This window comes from Homo sapiens, chromosome 12 (genome assembly GCF_000001405.40).
Source record: "Homo sapiens chromosome 12, GRCh38.p14 Primary Assembly".
NCBI lineage: Eukaryota > Metazoa > Chordata > Mammalia > Primates > Hominidae > Homo > Homo sapiens.
This window is the reverse complement of record NC_000012.12, coordinates 69,063,475-69,086,553: the sequence shown is the minus strand read 5'-3', so window position 1 is coordinate 69,086,553 and position 23,079 is coordinate 69,063,475. Positions and strand designations below refer to the sequence as shown.

At 40.0% G+C, this 23,079-nt stretch overlaps 1 annotated feature.

Annotated features, from left to right (window-relative positions):
• Positions 17,492-18,691: an enhancer, noted in NCBI's record as "P300/CBP strongly-dependent group 1 enhancer chr12:69461643-69462842 (GRCh37/hg19 assembly coordinates)". NCBI's record gives its function as "activates an origin of replication core promoter dependent on BRD2, BRD4, P300/CBP, MED14 and CDK7 cofactors, with strong dependence on P300/CBP, by STARR-seq in HCT116 cells {active_cell/tissue: HCT116}" and the evidence as "EXISTENCE:reporter gene assay evidence [ECO:0000049][PMID:35650434]".

Sequence of the window (23,079 nt, the reverse complement as noted above, 5' to 3'; positions counted from 1 at the left end):
GTTTTAAAGCAGATTTCAGATAGCATTGCATTGCATTGTTCATACTTCATTGTATTCACCGACCTTTAATACTCCTAGGGAAGCACAAAGATAGAAGGTGTGAGAAAAATCTTTAAAACTTTTCGTAAAGCTGTTTGTTCATTTTCATTGGTAAATTCATTTGGAAATGTAAAGAGCCAATGTATTTATAGCATAAAAAGTTCAGTTGTGTTTCATATTATTCCAGAGCCTCAGAAACAGGAATTCGTGATAAAAGGCATATATTTTTCAACTAGCATTTCTTCTTAGTGTTTCCCAGATATATCCATTTACCACAGGGTTCCTACCCTTCTTGGGATCCATGGACTGGAACCAAAACATGACACTTCAAATAATAAGTGAGAGGGGAGATGGCCATCACTCATTGTACTTTGTGGTTTACAACCAGTAGGGCAACGTATTTAGAAGTCTAAAATGTCTTAGTTTTCAAAGTGTTAAGCTCATTTAGTGCCAAAAGGTTATTTAATGTTATAACATGCAAACAAACCAGAGACAATGGAAGTCACCATGCATCAGTAGGCCAGAACCAAAGAACAATGATGGTAGCCTTTCTTTTCTTTTTTTTTTTTTTTGAGACAGCGTCTCTCTCTGTCACCCAGACTAGAGTGCAGTGGCATGATCTCAGCTCACTGCAATCTCACCTCCCAGGCTCAAGTGATTCTTGTGTCTCAGCCTCCTGAGTAGCTGGGATTACAGACGTACACCACCACACCCTGCTAATTTTTGTATTTTTAGTAAAGATGGAGTTTCACCATGTTGGCCAGGTTGGTCTTGAACTCCCAACCTCAGGTGATCCACCCACCTCAGTCTCCCAAACTGCTGGGATTACAGGCGTGAGCCACCCTGCCCAGCCAGATGATAGCTCTTCTATTGGGTGTTCTGGTTCTTAAGTTATTCTGTGCTTTTCCTCCTAATTGAGGTGAACTGTTTATTAAGGTTATCTGGGGTCTCTTAATGAAAGCCTTGTTAAACTTAGATTCTTCTCAGTTTTATGAAGGCAGCCAAAGAGGTCTCAAAGATTTCTACTGTAAAAATGTTTTGCTCTGTGTAAATTCTTGCATCCTGAGGTGATTTTGTTAACCTGAAGCTAGAAAGTTGGCCTTTAGTTTGCCTCATATTGTAGATCTTCTATTGAGGGCAGGAATAGTAGAGAATGGACCATCATAAGTCTTAGGCCAATTGTGGAGAGTTGAGGGTTCACCTTAGAATTCATGACAGTGCCAGCTCCCAATATTTCTGTATGGGAGGAGAAGGAGAGATGACACACTGAGGATTTGTCTTGAAATTGCAGTTGCCTAGCACTTTATGTAAAATGTAGAAAATGTCAACTGTCCATATCAAAGACAAGGGGCAGTGATAGATTAAGGAGTGTCCAAAGGCTCTTCCATTGCTTCATGTTTATCCCTTGTAGAATCCCATAGTCTCTTCTATGCTTCTGGGTTCTCTTTCTTTTCTTTCCTTTCTTTCTTTTTCTCTTTCTTTCTTTTCTTTCTTTCTTTCTCTTTCTTTCTTTTTCTCTTTCTTTCTTTTTCTCTTTCTTTCTCTCTCTTTCTTTCTTTCCTTCCTTCCTTCCTTCCTTCTTTCTTCCTGCTTTCTTGCTTGCTTGCTTTCTCTCTTTCTTTCTTTCTCTCTCTCTCTGTTTTTTGTTGTTGTTGTTTTTTTTTTTTTTTTTTTTTTAGACAGTGTCTCACTCTGTCACCCGGGCTGGAGTGCAGTGGCATGATCTCAGCTCACTGTAATCTCCAATCTCTGCCTCTGGCTTTAAATGACTCCCAAGTAGCTGGAATTACGAGTGTGCACCAACATGTCTGTCTAATTTTTGTATTTTTTGTAGAGATGAGGTTTCACCATGTTGTGCAGGATGGTCTTAAACTCCTGGGCTCAAGTGATCCACCGGACTCGGCCTCCCAAAGTGTTGGGGTTACAGGCATGCGCCATTGTGCCCAGCCGCCCCTGGGGTTTTCATAGCAAACTTTCGCCTAGTTTATTTTCTTGTGGAAATCTTAGGTGAACTTTTCCTATGAATGAACCCATAGAAAGCAGTGACCACTATTATTACTGTATTTATATTCTACCTATTTCCAATAATTGTAGGCAGCCAAGCGTACACAGTTGTCCTTAACTTTTAAAATAATGATGCTCTTGACAGCGAATTGTAATGTGTGTGCATAGGTGAAATTGATAGAGCTGATTCTGGACCACACCATGCTCATAAGTTTATATTCTTTGATTAGAGGCCTTTGAAACTATCAGAAGCGTCTATCTTCCTGGCCATCCTTCTTGGCAGATTCTCTGAGAGGAAGATCCTCATCCAAAAGCAGGGGTTTTCACCTGGGGATGGACATTAGGACGAGCTGTGGAACTCCTGGAAATGTAGGCAGTTTATTGAGGAAGGACTTTTTCTGGAGAACCCACATTTTTCATTAGATTCTTAAATGATTCCTCCCGTCAGAAAGGTTCACTATCAAGGTTTCTAGGCAGATTTGGGGAAAATTCAGAAGAACTGGGCCTTCTCAGCCTTCAGCGCGAGTCTTCACTGCTCAATTGTCATTGCCTTCGTGACCTTGGGCAGCCTGAGAGGTGAGTCCCCTGTGTTTAAACCCATTTGTCTATGCTTGCTATCTGTTGCTACAGCGACAGGAGTCATAAAAAGGCCTTCTTGTAAACATTGTCAAAAGGACATATATCAGCCCAGGGAAGCTAGGATGAATTTTTTCCCCAGGACTTGTCTAAAACTCCAAAAATGGTGAGCCCTCTTTAGCAGGCACTGCACATGAATTTAGTGACAGAATATCTACTTGATGTGGGTGAACTGCAAAAGGTTAATTCACTTTATCCCTTTCATGATCTGTGGATATCTAACACATTTAGTTATTTTTGGAAACCAACTGTCATTTTCTATAAATGTTGAATTCTCTTTTACCAAATACAGGCATGGTGTGTATGTCAGTAATGTCCTTGACCTACTTGGGCAGATAATGACATTTGAAAAATTATCCACAATAATGTTCACCTCCATAGATGTAAGTAATCAAGATGTAAGAATCATTAAGGGTGACAGGCTTTTAATTATAGTAAAGGTCTTTATAGGAAAAGTTGAAATACAGGCATACACTATTAGAACCATAACACAGCTGCATAATTTGTCTTTATGCTAGGTATGGTAAAGTCTAGCTTTTGGATTTCCAATTCTAACTTCATGTGTGTTTTAAAAAATTTGTCTGCTTCATATTTCTTGAGTTTCTATTGTTGTTTAGCTCTGAATATAAGAAGGACACTTGATCACCATCCCTCTGAGCATCTCTTCAAAAAATAACTTCAGAACCTGCAGTTAAAAACCTCTAAATCAGGGTTTTCTAAACTGTGGCTCATAAACCTTTAGTCATGACATCAATTTAGAACATTGCAACATGGATATGTATTTTTAATGAGATAGAATATAAGATATCAGAGGGCATCATATATAGTAATAAATTAATATATTAATAAAGTATTATTTTATGAAATTCTTTATTTAAGTTGTTTATGCCTATGTGTGTTTTGGTAGTGATGTGCTGAAATGTTTAACAACTGTCTCCCTGGGAGAAGAGGTATGTATATATGTAAATATCTGTATAAATTTATTACATATTTTACTGATATAAGGGGTATGTGGCTAAAATTTATAAATAAATAATAAATACATAATAATAAATCATTGTACATTTCGTATAGCCATTTTTTAAATTATACTTTAAGTTTTAGGGTACATGTGCACAATGTGCAGGTTAGTTACATATGTATACATGTGCCATGCTGGTGTGCTGCACCCATTAACTCGTCATTTAGCATTAGGTATATCTCCTAATGCTATCCCTCCCTGCTTCCCCCACCCCACTACAGTCCCCAGAGTGTGATGTTCCCCTTCCTGTGTCCATGTGTTCTCATTGTTCAATTCCCATCTATGAGTGAGAACATGCGGTGTTTGGTTTTTTGTCCTTGCGATAGTTTACTGAGAATGATGATTTCCAATTTCATCCATGTCCCTGCAAAGGACATGAACTCATCCTTGTTTATGGCTGCATCGTATTCCATGGTGTATATGTGCCACATTTTCTTAATCCAGTCTATCATTGTTGGACATTTGGGTTGGTTCCAAGTATTTGCTATTGTGAGTAGTGCCACAATAAACATATGTGTGCATGTGTCTTTATAGCAGCATGATTTATAGTCCTTTCGGTATATACCCAGTAATGGGATGGCTGGGTCAAATGGTATTTCTAGTTCTAGATCCCTGAGGAATCGCCACACTGACTTCCACAAGGGTTGAACTAGTTTACAGTCCCACCAACAGTGTAAAAGTGTTCCTATTTCTCCACATCCTCTCCAGCACCTGTTTTTTCCTCACTTTTTAATGGTTGCCATTCTAACTGGTGTGAGATGCTATCTCATTTTGGTTTTGATTTGCATTTCTCTGATGGCCAGTGAGGATGAGCATGTTTTCATGTGTCTTTTGGCTGCATAAATGTCTTCTTTTGATAAGTGTCTGTTCATGTCCTTCACCCACTTCTTGATGGGGTTGTTTGTTTTTTTCTTGTAAATTTGTTTTGAGTTCATTGTAGATTCTGGATATTAGCCCTTTGTCAGATGAGTAGGTTGCGAAAATTTTCTCCCATTTTGTAGGTTGCCTGTTCACTCTGATGGTAGTTTCTTTTGCTGTGCAGAAGCTCTTTAGTTTAATTAGATCCCATTTGTCAATTTTGGCTTTTGTTGCCATTGCTTTTGGTGTTTTAGACATGAAGTCCTTGCCCATGCCTATGTCCTGAATGGTAATGCCTAGGTTTTCTTCTAGGGATTTTACGGTTTTAGGTCTAACGTTTAAGTCTTTAATCCATCTTAAATTAATTTTTGTATAAGGTGTAAGGAAGGGATCCAGTTTCAGCTTTCTACATATGGCTAGCCAGTTTTCCCAGCACCATTTATTAAATAGGGAATCCTTTCCCCATTGCTTGTTTTTCTCAGGTTTGTCAAAGATCAAATAGTTGTAGATATGCGGCGTTATTTCTGAGGGCTCTGTTCTGTTCCATTGATCTATATCTCTGTTTTGGTACCAGTACCATGCTGTTTTGTTTACTGTAGCCTTGTAGTATAGTTTGAAGTCAGGTAGTGTGATGCCTCCAGCTTTGTTCTTTTGGCTTAGGATTGAATTGGTGATGCGGGCTCTTTTTTGGTTCCATATGAACTTGAAAGTAGTTTTTTCCAATTCTGTGAAGAAAGTTATTGATAGCTTGATGGGGATGGCATTGAATCTATAAATTACCTTGGGCAGTGTGGCCATTTTCACGATATTGATTCTTCCTACCCATGAGCATGGAATGTTCTTCCATTTGTTTGTATCCTCTTTTATTTCATTGAGCAGTGGTTTGTAGTTCTCCTTGAAGTAGCCATTGACTTTTGCCAAACTTTCGCATTCATAGCCAATCTGTGGTTACAATTCAACTCTAATTTGAGAAAATCAGACTACAAATAAATGCTTGATATCTATCAAATTCAGCAAAGAAGTCCCTCACATTATTGATGAATGAGTGTATTCTGGTGTAAGTGTTAATTGATATTTTAATTTACATTAACAAATAAGATGAAAGTGAAACAATGAAGACATTTCGGAACTTCACTAGTTTATCAATGACATGGAGAAATCTTTGTTGAACTGGATAATAGTTTTCAAATATTAGAAGAGTATTTCCTCAATTTTTTGTGCTATTCACAATGTAACAGTTATAGACACTTTTAAATTTAATCTGCGTTGTTGTTTTCTTCACTTTCATGAATAGAGGATCAACAAAACAATAAATCAAGAAATCAAGCCCTGATTTATAGTGTTTGCCAGTTTCTTTTTTTTCTTTTCTTTTTTTTTTTTTTTTGAGATGGAGTCTCACTCTATCGCCCAGGTAGGAGTGCAGTGGTGTGATCTCGGCTCACTGCAACCTCCGCCTCCCAGGTTCAAGTGATTCTCCTGCCTCAGCCTCCCAAGTAGCTGGGATTAGAGGCATGTGCCACTGTGCCCTGCTAATTTTTGTATTTTTAGTAGAGACGGGTTTCGCCATGTTGGCCAGGCTAGTCTTGAACTCCTGACCTCAGGTGATCTGTCTGGCTTAGCCTCCCAAAGTGCTGGGATTACAGGCATGAGCCACCACGCCCGGCCATGTTGGCCAGTTTCTGTGGTATATATAAATATTCCCACCATGGTTATTTCAGACTACCACTGTGATATCACAGGAGTCAGAGTTGGAAAGAAATGCAGTAGTAGCACATATTTATTTATTTATATTATTACTTGTTTTGAGACAGAGTCTCTCTCTGTTGCCCGGGCGGGAGTGCAGCAGTGCTATGTTGGCTCACTGCAACCTCCACCTCTCGGGTTCAAGTGATTCTCATGTCTCAGCCACCCAAATAGCTGGAATTACAGGCGTGTACCACCATGCCTGCCTAGTTTTTGTATTTTTAGTAGAGACAGAATTTCACCATGTTAGCCAGGCTGGTCTCGAACTCCTGGCCTCAAGTGATCCACTTGCTTTGGCCTCCCAAAGTGCTGGGATTACAGGCGTGAGCCACTGTGCCCTGCCTAGCACATCATCATATGGCATTTCTACCACTCAGATAGGAGAGACGTAACTGCAAGAATAGAGATGACAGGAAAATGTATTACAATAATTAAGAAATGATGAGTTTTGAGTAATTATTATTTGTTTTTAACATTGCTTAATTTTAACTTTCTATAATTTATTTACACATTTTATTATTTTTTGTAGAGACAGGGTCTCACTATGTTGCCCAGGCTGGTCTCGAACTCCTGGGCTCAAGCAATTCTCCCATCTCAGCCTCCCAAAGTGCTGTGATTATAAGCGTGAGCCACCATGCCTAGCCAAATTTTTAATAATGATGGTATTTAATAGTGGCTCACAATTTATAAAAACATAACAATCTGCTTTCATGAGCCCACATAAGCTGGCTCTAGCACACCACTGCTTGTGTGTCACAGTGTAAAGTGCATTTCTTACTGAAGGTTGTGGTCAAAAACAAGTGTAACCAACACTGCTCTAAAAATCTATTAGTGTAGTTGCTGACATGCTCAGTGGCCAGGTGGCTTGGCATTGAACTTCATAGAGTTGTCTACCTATTAGAAGAAGTAAATTAGGTTATTTCCTGCATATTCTTTGGCATTTGGTTCCTTTTTTTTTTTTTTTCTTGAGACGGAGTTTCACTCTTGTTGCCCAGGATGGAGTGCAATGGCACGATCTCAGCTCACTGCAACCTCCACCTCCCAGGTTCAAACGATTCTCCTGCCTCAGCCTCCCAAGTAGCTGGGATTACAGGCACATGCCACCCAGCCCGGCTAATTTTTGTATTTTTAATAGAGACAGGGTTTCTCCATGTTGGCCAGGCTGGTCCCGAACTCCTGGCCTCAGATGATCCATCCGCCTCGGCCTCCCAAAGTGCTGGGATTATAGGCGTGAGCCACTGCCTGCAGCAGGCATTTGATTCCTTAATACCTAAAATCAGATGTTTCCCTTTGTCTTGTTTTTAGGTCAGAAGAACTTTACCCAAATATTCCAGATCAGACTCTCTTTTAGGGCTTGCTTCTGTGATCATTTGAAATCTAGAGGGAACCACTGAGAATTCCATAAGTTTGAATGTCAAGGGGACCCTTGGCTCTGCTTGCCAATCCTATTACATTTATTCTTCTCATTCTCTCTGAAATGACCAATACTACCTTCTCCTCTTGTCTCAACCATCCTTCCCAGTCCTCACAACTCAGAGGTATCAGACATTACCATGGTTAATATTTTGATATAGCTTTCTAGCTTTTTCTATATGGATATGTAGACTTTGCCTACCAAGTTTATTGAGGTATAATTGACAAGTAAATATTGAATTTATTTAAGGTGTACAATGTAATGTTTTGATATACATATATACTGTGAAATGATTACCCCAATCAAGCTAATTCACATATCCATTACTGATATGGTTTGGGTGTATGTCCCCTCCAAATCACAAGTGTTTTTGTTTGCTTGTTTGTTTGTTTGAGACGGAGTCTTGCTCTGTTGCCCAGGCTGGAGTGCAGTGGCACGATCTCATCACTGCAACCTCCGACTCCCAGGTTCAAGTGATTTTCCTGTCTCAGCCTCCGGAGTAGCTGGGATTACAGGCACATGCCACAACATCTGGGTAATTTTTGTATTTTTAGTAGCTATGGCATTTCACTATGTTGGCCAGGCTGGTCTTGAGCTCCTGACCTCAAGTGATCCACCTGTCTCAACCTCCCAAAATTCTGGGATTACAGGTGTGAGCCGCCACACCTGGCCCAAACCTCATGTTGAAGTGTGAGCCCCAGTGTTGGAGATGGGGCCTAGTGGGAGGTGTTTGGTTCATGGCAGCAGATCCCTCTTCAGTGGCTTGGTGCCCTCCTCACAATAATGAGTGAATTCTCGCCCTGAGTTCATGTGAGATCTGGTTGTTTAAAAGAGTGTGGCACCTCCCTCAATCTCTCTCACGCTCCTGTTCTCACCATGTGATGTGCTGGCTCTCCCTTTGATCTTCCACCATGATTGGAAGCTCCCTGAGGCCTCACCAGAGGCAGATGCTGGCACCATGCTTCCTGTACAGCCTACAGAACATAGAGCCAATTAAATCTCTTTTTAAAATAAATTACCCAGTCTCAGATATTCCTTTATAGAAATGCAAGAATAGGCTAACACAATTACTTAATATAGTTGTATTTTTTATGTGTGGTGAGAACACTTAAGAGCTACTCTCTTAGCAAATTTCAAGTATGTAATATATTATTATTAAGTATAGTCACCATTGGGTGCCCAGGATATAAATTCATCTTATAACTGAAAGTTTGCACCCTTTGACCAATGTCACCTCATTTCCCCCATCCCCAGCCCCGGTCACCACTCTTCTACTCTCTGTTTCTATGAGTGCAACTTTTTTAGATTCCAGGTATAAGTGAGATCATGTAGTATTTGTCTTTCTGTGTCTGGCTTATTTCTGCTGGCATAATATCTTCTAGTTTCATCTATGTTGTTGCAAATGGCAGAATTTCCTTTTTAATGGCTGATAATATTCTATTGTCTAACTTGCAGTCTAGATGCCTTATGGTGTCATGGAGAAAGCAGGTCTTCTCTGTTTCTGCATAATACTTGACACGATATGGGCTTCATTCTTTGAGTAGTTTCTCCCTCCCTCATGGCTGCAGCAGCAGTCAAGCTGTATGCCTCTTTGTTTACACCCAGCCAGGGCAGAAGAGATTGGTTATCCATAGTTTCTTTTTTGAAGACCCTAAGAAGGCTCTCCTCAGGCCTCATTAGCCCAAAGTGGCTGAGTCCTGCCTATCTTGGAAGAACTACTATGACTGAGATGATCATGGATATGTCACAGTTCTTCTCTGTGGCACTCAGGGCAATTTTAAATCCTGCTTTGTTACCTACTTTTCTTTTTCTTTATTTCTTTTCTTCTCTTTTTTTGATACAGGATCTCACTCTGTCACCCAGGCTGAGTGCAGTGGCGCAAAATCATGGCTCACTGCAACCTCGACCTCCCAGGCTCAAGAGTTTCTCCCATCTCAGCCTCCCAGTTAGCTGAGACTACAGGTGTGCCTCACCACACCTGGCGAATTTTTTTTTTTTTAATTGTAGAGACGGGGTCCCACTACATTGCTCAGGCTGATCTTGAACTCCTGGACTCAAGCTATCCTCCCACCTCGGCCTCCCAAAGTCCTGGGATTACAGGACTGGCCCACTTTCCTTATTTTACAACACATTGTGGACATTTTTCAACTTTTCTCTTAAAATGTAGTTTATAATAACTGCTTTATTCATTTATGCAATATTCAATATAATTGGCATCCTAACTCTATTTCAGGGAACCCAATAGATACAAATAAGTTTCTGGAATGAATCCCTCACTATCCAGCTCTTTTCTCTGATATTTGAGCATTAGGAACAAAATAAAGTAAAATAATTTTTTGATAAACACCTCAATATGTAAACTCTCACTAATCCCTATTCAAAATTCAGAAATCAAGTGGAGTTAGATGACGCAGTATGCCTCACTATTCAAATGCAGGTACTAAATCGATTCAGGGGACGAGGAATACTTGCATCTACACTCTTGGCAAATTTTCAGTATACAATACGATATTATTAACTATAATCATCATACTATACATTAGATCTCTAGATTCACCCTACCTAACTGCAAAGTTGTAATCTTTGACCTCTTCATTTCCTCCCCCTCCTCACCCGTAGTAACAACAGTTTTACTCTGTTTTTGTTTATTCTACTTTAAAAAAAAAAGATTCTGCATTTAAGTGAGATAGATTTTAGGTGCCCTTAACACACACAGACACTGGGGTAATTACGGAAGTTGATGGATATGTAAATTTATTTGACTGTAGTAATCATTTCACTATGTATATCGAGACATCATATTATACACCTCAAGTATGTATGCTAAAAATAAACAACAAGAACATAAACACTTTAATGGCTTCCCCTTGCATGTAAAAAGAAACTCATACTCCTCATGATGGTCTGGATGTCTTTCTCTACTTCATCTTATACCACTCTAGCCATACCAGCCTTCTTCCTGTTTCCTGAGCATGCCAAGTCAGATCCAGCTTCAGGCCATTATCCTCCTCTTCCCCCTGCCCGAACCCCTCTCTCCCTACCCCACCTTCTTCACAGAGCTGGTTCCTTCTCATCATTTATACCTCAGCTTAGGTGTCACCTTCTCAAAAAGGTCTTCCCAGACTACCCCTTCTAAAGCAGTGCCCTTCCAAGGCAATTACAATGATATTGTTCATTTATTTGTTACTGTGACCCATTTCCCCTACGAGAATAGAAGTCTGCGAGAATGGGGACATTAATTTATTTTCCACTGTATCCTCAGCACCTGGGATAAATGCTAGCCAGTAGAAGGCATTTAATAAATGTTTGTTGAATTAATGAATCTCATACAGTCCTTAGAACAACTTTCCCCCATTATACAGATGAGGAAATAAAGACACAAAAAAGATAAACCACTCAATGGCAGGGGGAAAAAGATTTGGACCTAACTTGTTTAACCGCAGTCAAAACCCTTTAATACCACATTTTTAGCTTTTCATTTATAGATGTAACACCTAGATTGCATGTTTCTCCATAGGAACCATAAATAAATTTTTTCTTTTTGTCGCCTTAGAAAAATGTCTATTAGCTTTTCACAGTCATCTGCTCTACTGTGGAAGCAGCCGTTTCATTGCAAACTAAAAGTCATGGAGGAAATTGACAAGCAGCTCTCTTGAATGAGCAAGGCTGATTATTCTAAGAAGACAGTTTTCCTAAACGCTGTCATCCACAAATAGGTTTCAGGAAAGAACACCATAGGTGACATAAACCTTGCTTTCTGAAAAAGAAAACCAAGGACTGGATTCAGATTAGCAAATGGAACACAATTGGTTCATCTGAACTTCGAGCTAAATTATTTCTGTAGATCTCAGTTGGCTGCCCAGAGTCCAGCTGATCTGCTTTCTCAGCCACAACTCTATAGTTCACATGAAGAAGCAAGGAAAACATTCTCAGATCTTGTATCCCTTTAATAAAATTTCAGGTTATTTCTCCAAGAAGGATTTCACAGAGGTAAAATTGGCATTATCTCAAATTTCCCATGAGTAAGCCAGCTATAATGAAAGGTTGCTAAGAAATACTTTGTTTCCATCAAAGAACCACTTGGGGAAGTGGAGCCATGGGTGTTTCCCACTGCCCCAGGCTCTAAAGTCCTTCTAAACAGGTTCATTTTAGCTCCTCAGGTATTAGCTAGAATCATACTGGAAAATCTCTGCAAGATGAAATAGTAATATGTTCCTAAATTATAGGATTATTTTTCTGGGCTTCAAGCATTTAAAGTATTTACAAGAATTAGCCGTAAGCAAATATTACAAGATATGGTCTACACATGCTACCTTGCCTCTTGTTAAGCTGACAGTCCTTCAGATGGCTAAGGTTTCCCACCAATACATATCTAATTCATACAGCTCCTCACTTTCCAATAATTTTTTCCACCAGAAATTGGCTTAAGACAAAGAAGTGGAAAGCTAGGGAGACTGGGGTGCATTTTTAAATTTTTAAGTTATTTTTATTTTTGTTTTTATTTCAATAGTTTTTCAGGTACGGGTTGTTTTGGTTACATGGATAAGTTATTTAATGTTGATTTCTGAGATTTTGGTGCACCCATCACCTGAACTGTATACTATACCCTATATATCATCTTTTATTCCTCATCCCCCTCTCAGCTTTCCTCCTCGAATCCCCGAAGTTCATTATATCATTCTTATGCCTTTGCATCCTCATAGCTTAGCTCCCACTTATAGGTGGGAACATACGGTATTTGGTTTTCCATTCCTGAGTTACTCCACTTAGAATAATGGCCTCCAGCTCCATCCAAGTTGCCCTTTTTATGGCTGAGTAGTATTCCATGGTATATTTATACCACATTTTCTTTATCCACTTGTTGGTTAATTGGCACTTACGCTGGTTCCATATATTTGCAATTGCGAATTGTGTTGCTATAAACATGCAGGTGCATGTGTCTTTTTCATATAATAACTTATGTTCCTCTGGGTAGATATGCAGTAGTGGGATTGCTGGATCGAATGGTAGTTCTACTTTCAGTTCTTTAAGGAATCTCCACACCGGTTTCCATAGTGGTTGTACTAATTTACATTCCCACCAGCAGGGTAAAAGTGTTCCCTTTTCACCACATCCATGTCAACATCTATGGTTTTTTCACTTTTTAAATTATGGCCATTCTTGCAGGAGTAACATGGTATCTCATTGTGGTTTTAATTTGCATCTGCCTGATCATTACTGATGTTGAGCATTTATTCATATGTTTATTGACTGTGCATCTTCTTTTGAGAATTTTCTATTCATGTTCTTTTGCCCACTTTTAATGGGATTATTTGTGTTTTTTCTTGCTGATTTGTTTGAGTTCCTTGCAGATTCTGGATATTAGTCCTTTGTTGGATGCATAGTTTGTGAATATTTTCTCCTGGGGTGCATTTAATGAGACACATGAGGAAATAAATTATGTTTACATTAGGAAGAATGTATAACACACTGCAAACATGCTGAAAATATTCTGATTTCCCAATTCTATTTAAAAGTGTCCTGGCCTATGCCTAGTAGTGGCAAACAGGCAGAGCATGATAAAACTTATACTCTTCTTGCAGTTTTGCTTATCTTGAAGGTCAGTCACCACTTTGGACCTAGTGCCAATTTTCTCATTACAACATGAAAAGCAAATAACTCTGTTATTTCTCTCATACCCCAATGCCAGGATTATAACAGGGTAGTTTTGTTGTTGTTGTTGTTTTTGGTTTTTTGCCTTGTTCTTATGTCTTTAACATCCTAGGAAATACTTCAGTGAATCTTTTCACTTTATCAGATTGGCAAAGAATAAAAGCCTGACAATACTGAGTGTTGACAAGAATGCAGAACAATGAGAACATTCATACAATGCTGATGGGACTATATATTGGTTAATCCCCTTGGAAATCAACTTGTCAATGTTTAGAATAGTTGAAGATTCATATAACCTCAGACCTAGCAATGCTACTTCTGGGAATAAACTCTGAATGTTTCTATAAAAAACACTTATGAGAATGTTCCTTATGGCTTTATTGGTAATTGTAAAAACTGGAAATAGGATACATTTCCATTTAAAGTAGAATAGATAAATTGTAGTATATATTTGTTTCAGATCTTATATTTGTTTTAAGGGAATATGTACATACTTTTCTATATTTGAAACAAATATAGCAAAATGTTAAAATTTTATAAAGTTGGTCTGTGGATACATTGATGATGGCCATATATTCTCTATACTCCCCTGTTTTTGAAATGTTACGAAAAAAGCACTACTGCTATAAGTTGTTTATTTTCATTCAATAAATGAGTTGAGCATCTTCTACAAGTCAGGCATTATGCTAAGTGCTAGGAGTCCCTGTCTTCAGAAAACTTGGAATAATGTGGGGACTTTCTGAAACAATCCTCTCTGACCCCATGGCAATTAATTTGTACCTCTGTTATCATCTTCTGCCTTCTATTATGGCTTCAGGTTCATGACATTTTTCTCTCTATAGCAATGCTATCCCATACAACTTTCCACAGCAATCAAAATATTCTATAGCTCTGTTGTTCAATATGGTAGCCACCAGCCACCATTTAGCCATTGAATACTTGAAATGTGACTAATTTAACTGAGGAACTGGATTTTTAATTCTAATTAATTTTGTTTTAAATAGCCTCATGTCACTAGAAGCTACAGTATTGGACAGCACAGCTGCAGAGTGTCTGTTCTTTGAGGGTAAGGACTGTGTCTTTCTCATTTTTGTAGCCCTTGCCTGGAGTCCTAGTTACATTCTCAGAGAGTACCTAGCAAGATACTGTATCTCACAGAAGATTTTTTTTTTTTTTTTTTCAGACAGGATCTCACTCTGTCACCCAGGCTGGAGTGCACTGGTGTGATCCTAGCTCACCACAACCTCATACTCCCAGGCTCAAGCAATCCTCTTGCTTCAGCCTCCCCAGTGGCTGGGGGCTGGGACTAGAGGAATGCATCACCATGCCCAACTAATTAAAAAAAAATTTTTTTTTTTTGTAGAGACAGGATCTCACTATATTGCCCAGGCTGGTCTCGAACTTCTGAGCTTAACAGTCCTGCTGCCTCAGCCTCCCAAAGTGTTGGCATTACAGGTGTGAGTCACTGCACCTGGCTCACAGAAGACATTTGACAAATATCTGTTTAATTCTGGAATTAAATCCTTGTTGGTGTCATTGCCTACCATGTACTCCTGGGAAATTCACTTAATCCTTGTTTATTCATTTATCAAATATGTACTGTACACCAGTTCTGTGATGAGCCAAGGGAATACAAAAATAAATAAAATATAGACACTGTCCTTGAGGAATTCATGATCTTGTCTGAGCAATAGTTGTCTTAGAAATAAAACAAGAAGGTTAATCCTGAAGATTTCTAAGATATCTTCCAGCCTTAACGTTCTATGAATATATTCATTGAATTGTTCATTTGTGCCTAAGATCACTTTGAAAGTTTATGAAAATTGACAATAAATCAATAAAATAAAGGTATTTAAACTTGTCAACAGCCCTTTGGTCCCATTCATTCATTTAACAAATATTTACAAAACACTTGCTATGGATGTTTTGATTGCCTCCTCTTTGGTGAGAGCAATTTTCACTCCAGGATCATGGGGATAGCTGAACACACAACAGCTCACTACTAGACAGTTGAGATTGATAGTAGTTTGTTAGTCACATGAAGTCACAGCCCGGGGGAGGAAGATACCCCATGCCATGCAGAGCCACACAGGGTTGCACTCAGGGCCAGAGTGAAGAGCCAAGTGCCATGGAGGCAGGATTTGTAGTATCAAGGGGGTGAGGTGGCCTAGTTCCTGTGGGAGGAAGTGATTGACTTGTTTGAATAATTCCCTAAGCAGGCAGAGAACCCACTAGTACGGGATAAACAGGAACTCTGTCTGGTTCATTTGATAAGGAGGGCTATTTGGCTAGGGGACCTTGTTCATGGGAGCAGAACAGGCGAGAAGAAACTTGCAGTTAGGCCATTTGATACCCTCCTGATTTTACCATATATGTCAAGGCAACATGTAAAATTGAGGCTTAATAGGCAACACATAAAATTGAGCCTTAATTCTAGGATTTCCATCACAATGGGTCAGACATTATGCCAGGCACCCTCATGGGCAAGACAAGAACAAGTGAGTCCTGCCCTCATGGGTCTTACAGTTTAACTTTTAGGGGCATATTGGTGGAATCAGTGGATTATACTGTAGTTTACAACTGGAACTTTTGTTGCCACCTCTCTAACTCTGCCATGGGTCCCAGGGCCCAAGAGCATGGAGAATGGATGATGGCGTCTTTTGGCCACTAGAGGGCATTTCCTGCTTTCTGCATAGGCCCCTGGGTTCCTTGGGTTTTTGCTAAAATTGCGAGTTCAGTGTGCTGGTTGATTCTTAACTCTGGTACGCATCAGAACCAGTTGGGAAAATTTTAAAACAGAGCTTCACCTCCAGAGATTCTATTCGGTAGGAATAGGGTTGAGCTTGGGCCTCTGTGATTTGCCATTTCCCATGTGATTCTGATGGGTAAGCAGAGCTGAACAGTGAAACCTTTCGATAAGATAAGACTACATTCCAATTTACAGGGATTCTCATTTTAGCGTAAGAAATAAAATAAGGATTCCTCACATGTTTACCTATTCAATTAGCCCATCACGGCATAAACAACCATCCTTTTTTTTTCTTACAAAGCATGTCTGAAGGCCAGAACAACTATCCCTTTTGAGTTAAATTTTAAAGTAAAATTTGATCATTCTTGGGTTCAGGATTTTATTTTATTGATTTTTTTTCAATGTTCAATTTCTTCTTAATTTTGTCTAGATTCTCTGTTCTCCAAATGTAAAATCAAGAATGAGAACGCTGGCAGAAGTAAGGAAAGATGAGACCTGTTTTGAAAACGAAGTTTTAGAGGAACTATGTGAACAGATTGTGTTCTTCAGGGGCCTGGCACATGATGACATCTAACACCCATGGCCAACAGCATTCATAATCACCAATACGCAGCATCATACTCTGTCTACTGGCAATTCCCAGAGATCCAAGAAATATGTAAAACACTGGCTAGAAAGTGTTCTTGTGGCACGAGGCGGTGCTCATCAGGTGGCTTTAGGGTGCACTGGTCACCTGTTACGTGCAGGTCTCCTGGAGGACCTGAGTCCCTGCCCCAGCTCAGCCCACACCACCTCTGTCACCCTGAGACTTATAACCAGGCCAGGCGCGATGGCTCATGCCTATAATCTCAGCACGATGGGAGGCCGAGGCGAGTGGATCACTTGAGGTCAGGAGTTCAAGACCAGCCTAGCCAACATCTCTACTAAAAATATACAAAAATTAGCTGGGCGTGGTGGTACACGACTGTAGTCCCAGCTACTTGGGAGACTGAGGCAGGCGAATTGCTTGAACCCGGGAGGTGGAGGTTGCAGTGAGCTGAGATCGCGCCACTGCACTCCAGTCTGAGTGACGGAGCAAGACCCCAGCTCAAAAAAAAAAAAAAGGCCATTGAGTCCCTGTCTCTTCAGTAGTACTCTCCTTAAGGTCATTGGGAGGATTAAATGAGATAGTGTAATGTACATTAAAGTCATTTATAAATATTTCTAAATGATTTATAAATTATTTCTAAAACCAAAATAGCCCAGACCTCACCAGACGCAGCCTGTGAGTGGCAACAAGTCACACTGACATTCGTGCTGAATTATAATGATGGGCTACTTAAGAAGGAATGCTTGTGGCTGCCCTGAGTCTAAATACAAAAGCCGCCTTGCCTTTGGAAGCAAGGTAGAGGTGGGAAGACTGGCCCTATCACCACCCAATGCTGCGCATGTCGTCTAGATTCCCAAAGCTGCAAGCTTGCAAACTAGGTGCTTTGGTTTGGGCTCTGGAGAAACCCCTCCAGCCAGTGTGAACCTGTATGAGTGTTGGGGGGTGGGGAGGGGGAGCAAAATAGATGGGACTTTATGCCTTCCCCTTCTATTTTCTTTATCCGCCCTCCACCATCTCTCTCCCAGGCCAGACACAAAATTCTTCTCTTCTTCTGCTCAAAAACCGAACTCTCCCAAGCATTCACTTCTGCAAGCAGTTACCTGAAGGAGTCACCATCTATAAACAGCTCCTGTCTGAATGGCATTGAGGCACAATAGGGCACCCTGCCACAGAGATATACAGGGTTATCATGCCCACCTCCTGACTCACTCCTTTCTCATTTGATCCTGAGAAACAGGAAGTAAAAGGCCACAATAATTGGAAATGACCTGACTTCCCATCCATTTAACACTGAGTCACCGAGTCCTTAGGTGCTCTCCTCAGTTAAAGTTTTACCATGATGACTTTTGCTGTTGTTGCTGCTTCATTTTGATTGGTGAATGAAATGGCTCCCCCAAAACCTTAAGTAAGTTCTTGAGTGATGTGTGTATGGTTGCTTGTTTTAAAATCAGTGTTATTATTTGATTATAAATTCTTCTATGAAAGAAGTTGAAAGGAAGACTCCAGGCAAGAGACCCACGGAGTTATTTAAGGATTATAGACTTATTTTCAAGGCAGTTATGCTAAATTATGGATGATGCACTCCCTGGAAGACAATGTGAGCCTCTCTAGAAAAGGCAAGTGTTTCTCTTTTAGGTAAGTTGACAATTTATGTCTGCCCTCCGGTGACTTTAAAATCACACAAAAGACTATTCTATTTATTAATTGTCAAGAATTTTTTTAAAGCTCCCAGGGCTAAATTATATATGTCCCCTTCCAACCAGGATAATTAAATAATAGAATACAGTATATCGGGTCCTGGTGGGGTGGACAGCAGAGCTGCCGACCAAACACGCTGGGACCTCACTTGGCCTGAGAACTATCCGAGAGCACTTTTTTTTTTCTTTTAAAACCCAGTTTAGGAGGCTCATTTACGAGCCTATGCAAATCAGACATTCCTCAGTGTTTGCTTCTGAATTATTCATTTGTATCCCTCATCCTACTACTCAGGAAACAGAACAAGAATTTACCAAATAATAACTTGAATGAAGTTGTCTGTCCCAATGCCCAAGACATCGCACAAAATTTGAAGTTTTCTCCAGGGGCATGGGTGTGTCAGGGTGTGAACTTATAAATGATTCTCTCTTGCACAAAACATGTAATTAGAAATTCCATATCAGATATGCCTACTTCAGATGGTGCAACCAAAAAGAATCATAATGACATTTGTATTAAAATGTAACAAATAATCTATTATGAATCTTGCTTCTCTTTTTCATAATTGCCCACCATTTACAAAATGCGTGTCTAGGCAAATCAAGCTCCTCAACAGAGTATTAAAAAGTATAGGCTTTACTTGTTTTATAAAGCCAAGCCATAACTGTAACAGCTAGTAATAACAGCTGCCATTTTATAGAACACTGGCTTACTATTCACAGGGCACCGTCCTTGCATTTTACACTCACGATCTCATTTAACCTCCTGCCAACCCTCGAAGTAGGTACTGTTATTTTGTCTGTTTTACAGATGGGGAAACCAAGGCTCAGAAAGGTCAAGCAACCTGCTCAGGTTGACCAATAGTAAAGTCTGGATAGGGCACTTACATAGAGTTGCGTAAGTCACTCACTGCCCCAAAGGCACTGGCAGCCAAAGGAATAAATAGAGGCCAAAATCCAGCCTGTGTTTCACTTGCCCAGCCACATGCTGGCAGGGCTGCACCCACTAGAGGGGACACCTTCCTCTAACATGAACAAAGGCACTAAATGGGCTAGCAGCAGCCGTGGGGCTGGAACCCGGCATCAAACCCACTGAGCTGATTCCACAGCCCCTGTGCTTCACACTAGACTGACTACCTTGCCACATACATTTTCCTACCTCAGAGGGGCCCATAAAGGTCACACACTATTCCATTATTTTCTACTGGCTGGGCTTGGGGATGGGCATAGGAGGAGGTTGAGTTTATCCCCAAAAGGAAGGGGATAGATACCCTGTAACTCTGGAGTAGCCTGGTTTTCTGTTTTAGTGTGAAGGGTAGTGACTGGGAGCAGCAGCAGAGCATTGTCCCATAAACTGCCGGTGACCTGACCCTTGGGAGGTTTTCCTGGCCTGCTTTATGGAGCTCACCCAACTGTGAGAGTCAAAGTGGTGCTGATGAGTGGCTGCAGAGGCGCTGATGAGAGAAAACACTCCAATACAAAAAGCCAACAGACAGGAATCCTCACGCTGGCTCCACCACTCACTGTCATTTGACCTTTGATTGGTCACTTAGCCTCAGTGACTTCTATTTTCCATCTGAAAATGCAGACAATGATAACAGATGCCCCTAAAGTCTTCAAGGGAACAGTGCTCAGAAGTAACCCTAGGAAACATTTTGAAGCAGGCATTTATCTTTGGTGCTTATGTCACCTGTCCATCTCTTTCTGCTTCATTTCTTCCCATCCCACCCCCACCCAGCATTCCCCTCTTCCCTAATCTTCCTATGCGGAGAGAGGAGTCAGCCGATAAAACCAATTAGCAATATAGATGTTAGGGATTAAAAGTATTCACTTTCCCAAAGCCATCTTTATCCCAAAGAGAAGGCAAGGAAGGCTTTGCCCAAAGATCCAATGGCAGTTGGGTGAATTTTTGTGGCAGATGCGGGTTTTGTTTCTTTCTGGAGCCTGTAAATTACATAAAGTAAGCAACGAAGGATTGGGCTGTCCTGGGACAACTTTGTAAATTAGTTTTTTAAAAAAGAAAATCACACATATATATATATCAGCTTGGTAGAATATTGCATAATTATTATAAATGGTCATTTACAAAGATTATGAGGCAACAGCAGGGACAACTCCCAAGTATAATACCCGGAGCACATGCCCTGAGTACCACTCCCAGGTGTAATGTGACACTATTTAAAGAAGCAGGGGCCCAAAACATGCGTCAGCTCTGAGACACAGCTACATAAAAATTACACGCGTAAATAAACAGAGAGAGCCTGGAACGTACTATAGAAAAGTGAAAACAAATTATTGGTTGAAGTGATGGAACAGTGAGTGATTTTTCAACTTTCAGTCAATGTTACAACAGTGTAAAATAAATTTAGAAATGCTAAAAAAGAAAAAATCATTAAAAATTTATAGAAAATTGATAGCATAGGTAAATGAATTCTCTATTGTCATAATTTCAGAATGGTTATATATATATATATATATTTTTTTTTTTAACTTAGTATAAGATATTTTAGCTGGGCATGGTGGCACACACCTGTAGTTTCAGCTACTTAGGAGGTTGAAATGGGAGGATCACTTGAGGTCAGGAGTTTGAGGCCAACCTGGGCAACATAGCAAGGCTTCTCTCCAAAAAATAAAAAGTAAAAAAGGAATTTTAACATTTAACATTTCCGTGAAGCTCAGTATTGTTTTTGCCAATATAAACACGCTATGTCATCAACCCAATGCTTGAGAGTCTTTATATTAAGATGTCATGTTTATCTGAAAACAATTTGTCAAGGTTCTTTTAAAAAGGAAAACTAGTCAAAAATATAGGACAACATTGTGGTGATTCTGAGGACAGAGAATAGCATGAGGCACCTTTATACCTGAGGACAAATCAGAGGTATGTGCTTTGTAAATGTTCACCAAATAGATGAGTGAGTCATTTTCCAGAAGTGTTCAGATGAATCTAAAATCTCCTTTAATCTAATTACCACCTTCGCAGGGGTTTCTGAATGAATACTCACAGATACCTGTTAGGTGGAGAGCTAATGATCATGTCATTCCCATCTCCCACATAACAGATACGATGTTTCATGTTAATGTGATTTTTGTTCTAATTCAAAGGAAAAATTAAAACAGAAATTTCACACACTGCAACTAGCTTTGCGCTTGATCAGCTTTAAAGATTTTTTTCACACGCATACCTTAGAGTCTGTGACCTTCTTAAGCTACCCTCCTGTTCTTCACCCTTAAAAAGCAAATCTGTTGAATCACAGACTGCCAAAGCTAGAAGGAACTTTATCAGTCATTTGGCTTATTTTACAGATGAGAAGAATGGAAGCTCAGAAGCTGAAACAACTTGCCCAAGGTCACACAACAGGTTAGGAGCAAAATCAGGATGATTTGTTTTCTTTGGACACTTATCCTGCTCTAAGATCTGCCTATCCATGACATACATTTAAATTAATGGACTCTCCCACTCCAACTACAAGAGTAATTTGTGCTTGCTACATGAAATATTAAAATATAAAAATTATTCATAATTCTACCACCCAGAGATAACCACCATTAACACGTATGTATCTTTCTGGGCCCTTAGTCACTGCAGATGGACAGGAGCACGGGATAACAAGTGTGCAGGGGACTGGGGGACGTGACATGGCTGAGCTCTGGTCAAGGCAGGATTCCTGCACCACATGCTTCTGCTCCTTTGGCTTCCCTCCTGGGGCAGCCTTGGCACATGGAGCCCAGGGTAGTCTATGAGAGGGACTTACATCATGTCCACACCAGCCATATCCATCTTGGGTATATCCACCCATCTCCAGAACCATGAGGAAATAAATTTTTCTTGTTTATGCTACCCACTCTGTGGTATTGTCTTATGGCAGCCCAAGCTGACAAATAGATTTTGGTACCATGAAGAGGGGTGCTGCTATAATAAATACCTAAACATGTAAAGTGGCTTTGTAGCTGGGTAATGGGTAGAAGCTGCAAGTCTGAGATGAGGTCACCCACGTGATTGAGTCCTAGTAAGGGCTCTCTTCTGGGCCTGCGGTCGGCCGCCTTCTCACTGGGCTCTCACATGGCCTTTGCTTGGAGAGAGATCTCTCTCTTTCCCTCTCCTCATAAAGGCACTAATCCCATCAGAAGGACCCCACCGTCATGATCTCATCTAAACTTAAGTACTTCCTAAAGACCCTGTCTCCAAATACCATTGTATTGGCGGTTATGGCTTTAACACATGAATTGTGGGGGGACAGGAACATCAGTCCATAGCCCTACGGGAGAATGCTTGAATTGTGAGAACGCCAAGTTGGGGACAGCTGGGAGAACAGGAATATTTGGTATACACCAATTTCTTCTTTCCTTTTCCTGTCCACTCCACTACATCTAATAAATAGCTTTATTTTATTTTCATTGTAAATAGTCCCTCTTTCTATAGGATAAAATGTACGGATCGAGGAGGGTTTAGTTATCCTTCGATTCTTCTACCTATCACTGAGGTTTTCTGCAAAATTTATTTGCCAATGAATTGTGAACATTTTCCTACATTAATAAACCTTCTTCTATAGTTGATTGTTTAGCCTCTTCATAAGAGTCTACAAAATGCATGAATCATACTTAATTTAATTAGGATTATTTTTGGAAATGTAGATTGTTTCCAATTTTTTACTATTAAAAACAAAACTGTAATGAACA